General features: G+C 39.0%; 1 annotated feature.

Moving 5' to 3' along the window:
* Positions 11,353–11,853: an enhancer, noted in NCBI's record as "H3K4me1 hESC enhancer chr7:136212537-136213037 (GRCh37/hg19 assembly coordinates)". NCBI's record gives its function as "activates a minimal SCP1, AML or CMV promoter by ChIP-STARR-seq in naive H9 embryonic stem cells {active_cell/tissue: H9 hESC(naive)}" and the evidence as "EXISTENCE:reporter gene assay evidence [ECO:0000049][PMID:30033119]".

Here is a 13,270-nt window from a genome sequence, read left to right on the forward strand (position 1 = left end):
AGCTGACTGAGCTTTCTCTAAAGGTTGAGTGTGAATATTTAACTGCAGTAAACATTTACATTTTCATCACTTTAAGGTGGCTCACATCTGTAAGCCCAGCACTTTGGGAGTCTGAGGCTTGTGGATCACCTGAGGTCAGGATATCAAGACCAACCTGGCCAACATGGTGAAACCCCATCTCTACTAAAAATACAAAAATTAGTCAAGCATGGTGGCGGGTACCTGCAATCCCAGCTGCTCCAGAGGCTGAGACAGGAGAATTGCTTGAACCTGGGAGGCGGAGGCTGCAGTGAGCCAAGATCGCACTACTGTACTCCAGCCTGGGTGACAGAGCAAGACTCTGTCTCAAAAAAAAAAAAAAAAAAAAAATTATACACAGCGGAATCACGTAATGTGGTTGCAGTATGGAGTCGTTATGTACACTCTACTACTTGAACATAAATTTAAAATGTTATGGTCCCACAGATTAGCCTCAATTGTTTTGAATTCATCAGTAATTGTCAAACTTGATTGCGCATTAGAGTTACCTTGGGAACTTTGAAAAATGTTGATAACTGAGTGCCACTCTTAGAGATTCTGATTTTTTTTCCAGCCAGGTTTGAGGGTAGAAAATTTAGGTACAGGATTAAAAATTTTACAGTCAATTCTAATCTAGTTATACCATGATTCATTAGCTATTATTTCTATTAAAGAGTATCCCATATTTTCTTCTTATTAAAAAACATTTCTTCATTTTTTTTAGCTCTCTACTGAATTTTCTTCAGTAAATCTTTCTTTTTCTGGATGATATGTAAGTTTCAGAGTACTTGCCTATTTGAAAATTTCTCATTTTGGTCTTGTATATTTGACTGACAGCTTATCTGAGTATACATTTCTTAGGGCAAAAACACATTCAAAGAAATTGTATTTCAACATCCAGTAATGCTGAGAAGTGTGATGTCAGTTTGCTTTTTAAATTATGTGGATTTATGTCAATTGTTAAAGTTTTTAATATTTTGTCTTCATTCTTGGAGTTCTAAGTTCAACAGTGTGTCTTGCTGTAGGTATTTATTATTCTTAGCACTAGGTAGCTTCTTTCAATATGAATACTATTATCCTATATTCACTCTGGAAAATATCTTCTGTTTTTTTTTTTTTTTTTTTTTTTTTTTTTTTTTTGGCTAATCTCTAGACCTCCTTTTCTCCATCTGTTCTCTATTTCTGAAACTTTGTTACAGCAATATCCAATAAACATGTAAGGAAAGACATTTATATAATTTTAAATTTTCTTGTAGCCACATTTAAAAACTAAAAAGTAACCACTGAAAATAGTTCAAATACATTTAAATGTAACACATAAAAATAATTTAAATTTTATATAATTTTATATAAAATTTATTAAACATGTAGATAATATGAAATTTATTGAGACATTTTGCATTATTGTAATTTTTGTTATTAAGTTTTTGTGCATTTTACACTCTCTGTATTTCCTCCCACCCCTCTTCTCTCCTTTTTCTCCTTTCCCTTCTCTTCCCTTCCTCCCCTCTGTCCCTTCCCTCCTTTCTTTATATATCATACATTCGTTTGCCAATAATTATGTCATATTTTGTCTTGTTCATGGGTGCAATATTTCCTCAAATCTATCTTGGGTGAAACATTATTGTCACTTCCTATTCATGAATGAAGCATGTGAGTGATTAGTACAGGTGATGGGTATGTCCCATGGAAAAGATGACCATCTGTTCCACATAAATATCATGCTGACAGGAGGTCTTCTCTTGAGCTGCAGTAGAGGTGAAGAAGGCAGAGGTTTTGAAGTTGAGGATTTTAATCTGGAGTGTGTGTGTGTGTGTGTGTGTGTGTGTGGTGTAGCTCTTGGACTATGAATTCCCTGGGAATGGAGAACATGTCTCCTTTTCTCTTCCTTTCCTTTCCCTTCCTTTCCTTTCCTTTCCCTTCCCTTCCCTTCCCTTCCCTTCCCTTCCCTTCCCTTCCCTTCCCTTCCTTTTTTTTTGGTGAGTGGGGGAGAGGGGTAGGGGTGGGGGTGGCAGTTTCTCCTCTGTCACCAAGGCTGGAGGGCAGTGGTGCAATCATAGCTCACTGTAGCCTAGACCTGTCAGGCTCAAGCAATCCTCCCACCTCAGCCTCCCGAGTAGCCAAGATTACAAGCATGTGCCACCATAGCCAGCTAATTTTTAAAATTTTTAGTAGAGATGGAGTCTCACTGTGTTGCCAGAGCTGGTCTTGAACCCCTGGCCTCATGCAATCCTTTTGTCTTGGCTTCCCAGTGTTGGGATTACAGGCATAAGCCACTATGCCTGGCCTGGGAACATGCCTTTTCTATTTTTTATTATATATTGTCCAGAGTTTTACAGTTTACTTGACAGTAGGAATTCAATAGTTTGAAATAATGAGCAATTGCTTCTTTTTATTCTTCCTTACCACTTACTTTAGTTTTCTATCTTTTGATACTTGATTTTTGCTTTTCTGTAATCTTTTTATTTGGAAGCTACATAATTCTAACAATAGTTACCTTTGTAAGTTAAAAAGTGTTGGATTTAAAACTATATGTCAAATATAAATGTGTGTATGTATGTAGATAAATATATATACATATAAAATGTCCAATATAAAAGTGAATGTGTTGACTCCCTTCATAACACATTGTAAAACTGATTAATTTATATTATCTCCTTTCTCTTCCTTTTTACTTCTCTTTCATTGGCATATTTATGATCTTAGTCCCAGTCCACTATTAACAATTCACTATGACTATTATAGGTTTCTTTCAGGATTTATAAAATATACATCTGTTTGTCCTCATTATGAATAATGTTATTGACCTTCTTCTACATTCAGATTTGATGCTTTCTGCCTGGTCTTTCTACAATTAAACCACTGAATTAGAGTTTTTAAAATTCTAATGCAGCTTTTGGTTCCTAGGATTTCTCATCTTCAAATGGGTGTGAAATGAAGAAAACATTAACACTCTATTTCCTGATTTTTTGTTTGTTTAGGAAACTGTCTTCCAACTGGAATAAAAACTTAGGTGTGTGCACAGTTTTTCAGTCACATCTTTGTTTCCGAGACATTGTAGATCAACGTCCTGGCATCTAATGTTGCTTAGGAGAGGAGTCAGAGGCTGGCTCTATTTATTTTTCTTGCTGAATGATACGCAGGTTTGGCCCAGATAATTAGGAAATTCCTTTATTTTTGAGTTTCTGTAAATCTACTGGGATATGCTTTAGCGCAAATTCCTGTTAATCATCTTTCCTTTGAATCTTACATCTCAAGGTCTTTTATTTCAGGAATTTTTCCCCATATTATATATTTGGAAACTTTTTCTTCCATGTGTTCTGCAAGAGCAATTTTCTTCCTTGTCTTCCCCAAGAGCAATCATCCATAAATTTGTTTTCATTGCCTTTTCTTCATGGTGTTGTTTTCTATGTAATCATTGCAATCTCTTTATCTTTTTATTCTGAATTTCGTGTGATTTCCCCCACCCTCAAATGTTACCTTCTTATCACTGGATAGGCTTACTCTACTTTAATTCAGTTCTTTCCACTTTTTACAGGGTTTCAAATACTTTAAAGGTTTTAATTTCCTCTTCAGTTTCTTTCTTAGGTTTGTCAGCTACCTTTCCATTGTATTCTATTTTTGAATCTCTTGATATCTTGCATTAGTTTTGGTGTCTTTATCAGTTTGTTCACAGACTCTATGTTGTCTTTAAATTCCTTAGGAATACAGAGAATTTTTTCACATTTTCTTCTGTTTCCTTTGGATATATTTTCCAAAGAATTTTTCATCTATATTTCCTTATTTTATTACCTGTTTTGCTTATTGCCTTACACAAATGAAAGCAATTCATTCCCAGGCTACTATTTGCCTCCAGATTTTGAAAGAAACTTTTTCTGGACTAACCTCTTTGTTAATCTTATCATTTGAATTGTCTCCCTCAATCCTATCTCAGATTATTTTTTCTCTGTCTGGAGAATCCATTAATTATCCTGGCCAAGGGAACTAAGAAGCTAACTACACTAGTATTTTGACATAATAAATAGATGACTAATGCATTATTACATATAAAGTTTTCTATTAAGACTTGTTAAGCTCAGACAAAACATATCCTTTCATTAAACCTTTTTCTACTATCCCACATCACAGTAATATTTTCCATTTTTGTATTCTTATGAAGCTTCCTGTTAACATGTGATGCTATGGTAAATATATACTACTGTTGGCCGGGTGCGGTGGCTCACGCCTGTAATCCCAGCACTTTGGGAGTCCCAGGCAGGTGGATCATGAGGTCAAGAGATCGAGACCATCCTGGCCAACATTGTGAAACCCTGTCTCTACTGAAAGTACAAAAATTAGCCAGGCGTGGTGGCACACGCCTGTAGTCCCAGCTACTCAGAAGGCTGAGGCAGGAGAATTTCTTGAACCCGGGAGGCAGAGGTTGCAGTGAGCTGAGATGGTGCCACTGCACTCCAGCCTGGTGACAGAGTGAGACTCCATCTCAAAAGAAAACAATATATATACACACACACACAGACACACACGCTACTGTCATGTAATTTTCTCCTTAGTTTCTCTTGGGTCAGTCATGACTTTCCAGCTTCATGACAAGGAATAGTACCTTTGACTTCTGTTTCTTCTATGACTCCAGGCACATTATAGAGCATAATGTAAATATACAAGTAATGATTCTTGATTGGCTTATTGTCTTAACTATTCTTTTGGAAGGATAAGGTTCAACAATCTTTTTGATTCAAGCAATTAGATTGGAAGGGAACAAATATGTTTAGAGCACCTACAATGTCCCAATAGTTCCTTATGTCCTAGTATTTGATGGGTACTATCAAACTCATTGCATATTTTTTATCCTTTGTTAACTTAGTGTTGTTGACAACATTCTGTAGATTAAAATACTGGCCCAATGATGAATTACCTCCCAAGGTCTTGCAGCTAATAAAGGATGAAATTAATAATTAAGGACATCTTTTTAACTCCAAAGCCCATGCTTTCTTATTCAAGGTGCTGATATTCCTGCCATCATTATTTCCGTAAGATATGCTTTCCATAGCTTGAAAGTTATTTCCTCAAAGTTTAGACCAGATGTACCCATGTTTTAGAATTTAGTAGTTTGAAATTTATATCTTGTATAATTAATCTGAAAAAGTTTCATAATTTTCTTTCCGCTTGATCCTGACACTCCTAAGATGTGGAACTGATACTCATTATCCAAAATGACTGCTAGGTCTACAGCCATCACTCATGTTAACAAGCAGAATGATGGAGGAGAAGGGAAAGGTAGAACTTCATTGAAATCATGTAGCCACTTCTAGCTGTTGTTTAAAGCTGATTTTTTAGGGGTCCATAGGACCTTTAAGGAATGGGCAGAGGAATCAGATGGCAATTTGGGTTGGCAGAAAATCTTATAAACATACTGCAGCCTAGGAGAACTGGAGCTAGATTGTGTGACTAGATCTTATTAACTACAGCAATCATCATCCTGTGGATTCAGAAGATATTAAAAGAAATGAAGAATAATTGACAATATTTTATGCTAAAATGCAAATTTGAAGAGATTATTATGAAAGAATTGTGTGTAACAGGGTTCCCCTTCTCAGAAATATCTCTACCTTACTAAATGAGGGGACACCTTAACTTCAAGTTGATCTTTCATTTCATTCATTCAACAATTTTAATAGCTTCATTAAGATATAATTCACCTACCATAGTATTCATCCATTTAAATTGTACAGTTCAGTGGTTTTTAGTATACAGTAGTTCCCCCTTATCTGCAAGGGATGCATTTCAAGACCCTTCAGTGGATGCCTGAAACTCTGGATAGTACTGAACCTCAACTATACTATGTTTTTTCCTATAGATACAAACCTAGGATAAAGTTTAAAGTTTAATTTATAAATTAGGCACAGTAAGAGATTAACAACTACTTATAAAATAAAACAATTGTAACAACATGCTGTAATAAAAAATATGTAAATGTGGTCTCTCTCTGTGCTGCTAAGTAACTATGGGTTGGGTAGCATAGACTGGGTGGGTGGGTGGTCCGGACAAAGGAATGATTCACATTCCATGCAGGGTGAAGTGTGATACTTCACACTACTCAAGGTGGTGTTCAATTTAAAATTTATGAATTGTGTATTTCCAGAGATTTTCATTTAATATTTTCATACTGTAGTATACAGTGGGAGTACTATATTTACAGAGTTTCACTATCACCACCACAGTCTAATTTTTGAGTATTTTCATTATCACCAAATTCCCCATATCCATTACCAGTCTCTCTCCATTCCTCACTGCTCCCCTACTCTCCCCTGCTACAGGCCTAGGCATCATTTATCATCTTTGGATCTCTATCGATTTGTTAATTATGGATATTTGACATTTATGGAGTCATACAATACAACTCTTTAGTGACTAGCTTCTTTCACTTAGCATAAAAATTTCAAGGTTCATCCGTATTGTAGCAGGGACCAATAATTCATTCAACAACTATTTTCGTGTGTGAGTTGTATACCAGGCTCTCTAACTAGGAATATAACTACAAATGGGGGAACATGATGCCTGTCCTCATACAGCTTGAAACCTAGTGAGGGAAGATTTTAAACAAATAGTCACATAATTACAGTTGACATAAAGCTATTATGAGAACCCATGCAAAGATATCAAAGTAACTAGAGATGTCAAGGACTCTAGGTGAAAATCATATACAAATCCAGGTCTCACCTATGAGAAAGATTTGGCCAAAGAAAGAGACATCAACGTATAATTATTGAGCTCCTGCTGTATATACTAAGCAAAATACAAGGTCAGAAACTAGAGAGATTAAGGTCAAGGTTATTCTATTGAAGCAGTTTATAACATAGTGAGGCATGAAAATAAATCAATACATGCTGGTAGTATTGTGATCAATTCTATAAAAGTGGTGTACTCGGTGATTAGGAAGTTGGAGGAAAGGCACCTGGCATGGCTAGCGGACTAAGGTTTAGGGAAGTCTTCGTGTGAAACATGGTACATCAGCTGAGTTCTAACAGACAAGAAGCTGCCCACTTGATGAATGATGAGACGGCTGCTCCAAGCAAAAGAAGCAAAATCATCAGAGCCTTGAGAGGAGAGCAGGCTGCTTTTAGGAAGTGCATCCAGTAGCAGAGCTTCTAGAAAGTGCTATGATTAATTCAGGGATCTGTAATGGGCTCTAATCTTCCATCTATTTTCCAACATCATACAGATTTGGATTATCTCCAGTCATGAGAGATGTAGCTTCAAATCTTGAATGTGTTCATTTTATGCAAAACATCTTAATAAAAGCGTCAGTATTCTAAGAATGTAACTACCTCATCACATGAGATTGTTCTGCACTGGTGCGTGTTAAAATGAATCACTGTGTGTAGCACTTATTCCATATCCGGGAGATTACTCTGTAGATCCACATTTAGTTAGGCTGATTGAATTTGGTTCACATTATCCACATTATTGTGGACCTAATAATGGAAGTGTGTTTCATTCTTCACTGGCAAGGCATTCTAGTTATAACACTCTAGCCACAGCTCAAGAGATAGTTTTAATAAAATATCCCATTTATAGTTTATAGAGGAAAAATAAAACACCCCTCTGGTATAAAGATTTAAGTTTACAGAAATTTAACTTGGTGACTGAAGGGATATTTTGTTGAGTTATGCCACCTAGATCTTTGAGAAAAAGGTTAGAGGTGAGAGAATTCAGGGCTGTTACTAGGAACTCTTGATCAGGCATTCAGCTTTCAGACAGCCTTAGCTGTCACAAAGAAGATCTAATCTGTTAGCTGAATAAGAAAACTCATGAGCCTCAGATTCAAATCAGGAATTTGTCTAGGGTGTACTTTGGCCCTAACTCTACTTCTGTGCTCTATTTCTAGAGCATAATATGGAGTGTGAATAATGGAACAGGTCTGGAAGCCAACTTTATATGATCAGCCCACTGAAACCCTCCTCACAGAAAACCCATTTAGCCTTTATGATTCAGAATATGTTGGAGGGAGAACAGGATCTGTTGCTATTGTTTTTAAGATCTCTGAAAAATTTGTCCTCCAACATCTCTCTTACACAATTATAGCATCCTAATGTATAAAATAATTCACTTAATTTTCACCTGAAAGTTTGGAGAAATCTATATGTCTCTGGACTGCACTGCAGGTGCCCATCTTGTCTCTACTCTCATTCCAACCATTAACTCCTCCAGGAGTTTTCTACCATTTTTTTTGGTGTTTATTTTTTTTACCTGGTGCCTTAGGGAATAATGAAAAATGAATAATATTTAGCAGCAGGGATTGCTAAAATGTGTCTTCGTATATGTAAATACAGAAAAGGGATGGTACAGTGTTTGTTTATTCAGTAAATGTTTCTTGAGCAGCTACTATGGGCAGGCTCTGTTTTAAGTTCTGGCAATCAGCAATGAACAAGAGAGAGAAAGTCATTAACCTCGTGGAACATGTGTCCTGGTGTTTAATTACAGTCTAGGAAGGGCACAAGATTGAGAAGAAACGCTCTGGCAAGGTGAGGCTCCTTTATATTTCTGGTCCTTGCTCTCTGGTATTTGTGTTCAGAACATGCAGAGGTTAGAGTGGTTGTATTTAGGTGACAGGAGCAGAAGAAGGCTTCTGTATAGGAAGTCATAAAAGGAACTTGACCCAAGATATGGAAACAACTGAAGTATGCATCAATAGATGAATAGATTTTTTTAAATGTGGTAAATATACATAATGGAATACTTCAGAAATAAAAAGACAAAATCCTGTCATTTGTGGAAACATGCATTAACCTGGAAGATATTCTATTAAGTGAAATAAGCCAGGAACAGAGAAACAAATACCACATGGTCTCACTTTTATGTAGGATCTAAAAAATCCTACATAAATCCTACATACTTCTGTAAGTATGTAGAGCATAAAATGGTGGTTTCCAGGGGCTGGGGGAAGGGCGTTGAATGAGGAAAGGGAGACATTGGTCAAAGGGTACAAAGTTTCAGATAGATAGGAATAAATTCTGGTGATATATTGCACACCATGGTTACTACAGTTAATATATTGCGTATTTCAAAACAGCTGAAAGAGGATTTTAAATGTTCTCATCACAAGAAAAGAATAAATATTTAAGGTGATGCATATGCCAATTACCCTGATTTGAATATTTTACAATGTTTACATCTTAAAACACTACATTGTACCCAACAGACAAATAAGCACAACACAATTATTTGTCAATTAAAATTATATATATTTTAAAAGAGGAATTTGAACTTGACCAGGAGACATTTCCATAGCAGACCCATGCTAATGAGTTGACTATTCCTTGTGTGAAATGTAATCTGACTTCCATCTAACATTACATGCTTACTTCAATTTTGCTATTCTTTAGCCTTGTCTAAAATCTCATCTTAAACCACTTATTCTTTTCTAGGTTTCTAATGAACTTATTGCCCTTCTCCTGTTAAAGTAGCTTGATCATTCCATGATCCTTGTCTCCAGGGATAGATAAAACTCAAAGTTTCTCTCTAAGGTATGTTTCAAAAGCTTAGATCCTGGGGAAAAATAAAATCACTTACAACAAAGTTAGGCACAGTGGCACCTGTAGTCCCAGTTACTTTAGAGGCTGAGGCAGGAGGATCTCTTGAGCTGAGGAATTTGAGACCAGCCTGGGCAACACAGTGAGACATAATAAGTAGAATAAAATCACTTACAACAAAGGTAGCAAGATTGAGAGAGCTCAGTGAAAGCAACTGGAGCAGAGTCATCAATTTCTCAAGACTAGCTATTCCCCCTGGATAAATCCTGGGGTGAAGAAATAACTCCCAGATAGGTTTTTGGGATCTAAGAAGATGATTATTTGAATCTATTCTGAGGTAGAACTCCCACGTAAGATGGTAAGATGCTGGAAAACAAATGGCTGAATGATGCATCTGGGCAGAGGTAGTCTTAGGTAATCTCAGTTTCCCAAGAGCTAGCATATTGTCAAAGCAACAAAATGGTTACTCTGCAATTCAGATGGTGGAGGCATAATAGAGCTGTCAGACCCAAATGTGCCATGTGAACAGAAATGAGCTTCATATCTGTGACAGCCTGTGTGGTCAGGTCTACAAAGCCCTGTAGTAATGATGTCACGGGATCCTTGGGGTGTCACTTCACCAGCTGAAACCTCTGTGGCCGGAAGCACCTTCTGCCTGAGTATTGTTAGTGCTTGCCGGGTTCATTCCGCCCACTCAGCCCAGCAGACTCCACTTGGCTCATGCTCCTGGCCTGAATCCCACACCTGCCAAGGATAAGCCAGACATGGAGTGGTGAGGGGTGAGTGAGCGAGTGTGGGGTCCAGTAACTGTGCACAGCCAGGCATGTCACCTGCAGTGGAGTGGGCAGCTCCAGGCATTGGCACAGGTGCCATCTCTGCAAGGCTGTGGCTGGACTAGGTGTATTGCAAGCAGCTTCTACTGTGGGCACCAGGGAATGCAGTGGCACCCGGGAGCTTGGAGATGTCAGGAACTGCAGAGCCCCAAAGAGGGTGGGCCACTACCCTGCCCTGGGGAGCCCCTAGATCTGGGATCTCTGAAAAGCTACAGCTCTTCTCTCCTTGTCACCTGCAATGTGGTGAGCAGGGGGCATGTTTCAGGCCTGTCTGTGTTACGGCTCTTTTAGTCTCGCCATTCAGTAGGTCCTGAGTTCTTGTTTCATGTCCAGGAAGAATTAGGTATGTGGACAACTAGAATAAGGCAGAGAGGAGATTCACTGAGCAACAGAACAGCTCACAGGAGACCCAGAGTGGGTAGCTGCTTTCTGCAGGCAGATCCTCCCATTGAGTGTCCATCTCTCAATTCAGAGGAGACACAGAATGGGTAGCTTCTTTCCACAGGCAGGTCATCCTGAGGTCTCTCTGACTCTGGCTGAGTCCAGGGGTTTTATGGGCTTCAGAAGAAACAAAATGTGTGCTGATTGGTCCATGGGTAGCCATGGGTACGCCCAGGAAAAGCATCCTAAGTTCTCACTTGGGGCCTGTGAACTCCACCCAGAACTGACAGCCCAGCCCCCATGCTTCAGGCTGTCCCTGGCTTCAAAGTGGAACTTCACTGGGGACCCACTTCTTTCTGCCCAGGAGCCTGTCTGCCTCCTGCCACCATCAATCATATCATCTGTGGCAACAAGGTTGTTCCTGCTGAGGGGCACCTGCAGGACTGCACTAAGCTGCCCTCAGCCCTACCTCAGGCTCCTTCCTGTGCTTGTTGGCAGCCACAGTCCACATGGGCTGAAATGGCAGAGGGCTGCTGTGACAGCATTGCCCCAAGCTTGTGCACACCCAGCTGGGTTGTGACAGCACCTGGGCTTGGCCTCAACTTTGCTCCAGAATTGGAGCCATTGCCAGGAGTGAGGAGAGGCCAGGCCCAGGAGCAGGAGCAGACATTTCTGAGCCTGCATGAGGAGCGGGGCTTCCTGGGTTCCCAAGAGCACAGGGATGCCTGGGTCCACAGCTGCAGCTGTGCCCAGGAGAGTGGGGATCCTACACTTTCAACTCAGAAGGGGGCTGGGCTCCTGCCTATTGCCAGCTCCTGCCAGATCCATGGAGTATTCATCCCCAGCTGCAATTCCCCTGCTGCAGCTGGCATCTTTACAGCAGCTGCTCCAGATGGGCCACCACTGCCATCAATGAGGGGTGCCTTAAGGGGTTCATGATGGGTCAGTTTATACTGACTGTCTGGTGTTGCTTCTCCCTGACAGACCCACTCTCTAATATACCCATAGAAGTTCTGATATCTGGTATTTACATAAACCTCCCATGGCAGAAACACATCTAAGGCTGAACAAAGGTCCTAAAGAGAAACAAATGGAAAGAAGGAAGGAAGGAAAGAAAGAGGAAAGGAAGGGAGGGAGGGAAGATATTTTGTAGACTGAGATTCCTACTTGCTGTACTTGATTTAGTATTTCAGCCTTGTCTCAGTGAAGCTGGAGAACATTATGAAAAGGGTCTTGTGAATCAGCTTAAGAGTGTTTTAAAGCAGCCTAGCTCCTCCTCCTCCCCAGAGCAATAGTAGAGTGAGTCACTATTCATAGAGAGGATGATTCATGAGGAATGTATGGTGATTCTGGTGTAGATCACGTTTCTCATGTGGAGGACTTCCCTCTATCTCCAATGTGGTGGATCTGGCTTTTCATTAGAAAGGCGGTGGGTTAGTCCATTTTGCATTGCTATAAAGGAATATCTGAAGCTGGGTAATTTGTAGAGAAGAAGTTTATTTGGATTATGGTCCTGTAGACTGCATAAGAAGCATGGGGCTGGCATCTGCTTCTGATGAGGCCTCAGAAAGCTTCCAATCATGGGGGAAGGCAAAAGAGAACAGGTGTATCACTTGGCAAGAGAAGAGTACCAGAGAGAGAGGGGAGGTGCCATGTCTTTAAATAATCAGCTCTCAAATGAACTCACTCATTACTGTGAGGACTGCACTAAGCCGTTCATGAGGGATCTGCCCCCATAATCCAAACACCTCCCACCAGGCCCCAACTCCAATATTGAGGATCACATTTCAACATGAGATTTGGAGAGGACAAATATCCAAACTATATCAGGTAGTGATTCTTTTTTTCTATGCAGTATCTCTGATAACTTTATAGTATTTGGATGTCATTGCATTCTACTGTGCCTTATTTCCTCCAGAGTCTTCCACTAGTCCCTTATTCCTTTCAAAAGAGAGTAATAGCACATATATGCATAAAAGTCACAAACTAAATTGAAACTACTTTCCACTTACATTCAGTTTTCATGTATTTCACTACTTACTATAAACATATCCTTGGCATACTATAAAATATAGAATCGGGGTCCTGGGAGGTCGGACTCCAAACTGTGGCCTTTAAATTGTTACTTCTTACTTTTTCTTTATCTTCCCAGTCAGTGTCTTAAATTAGAGTTCTTTTATTGGTAAAAATAAAGAAGACATTTCTTTACCATAGCCAAGGATATGGGGGTGGGAGGGCGGGTGTTGAGAAGCAGCAGTATAGAAAAATCTGTACTTTTAGTGTATATTGATACTGTTGAAATTACTTCTTAGATTCCTGGCAAATACTGGGAATGCCTGTCTCAAAATAATGTGGTGATGAAATTTTATCCGTCTTTATTTTAGCTTAATTATATCTCTAAGCACCTCTCTGAGTTTTTTTTATTGTTCTCTGTTTTTGAGTTTTTAAGATCTGATAATGGTTAGTAAAGAAGAAATCTGAAAAAGCACTAATGGTTCTCATTTAAAA

This window comes from Homo sapiens, chromosome 7 (assembly GCF_000001405.40).
Source record: "Homo sapiens chromosome 7, GRCh38.p14 Primary Assembly".
NCBI classification, from domain to species: domain Eukaryota; kingdom Metazoa; phylum Chordata; class Mammalia; order Primates; family Hominidae; genus Homo; species Homo sapiens.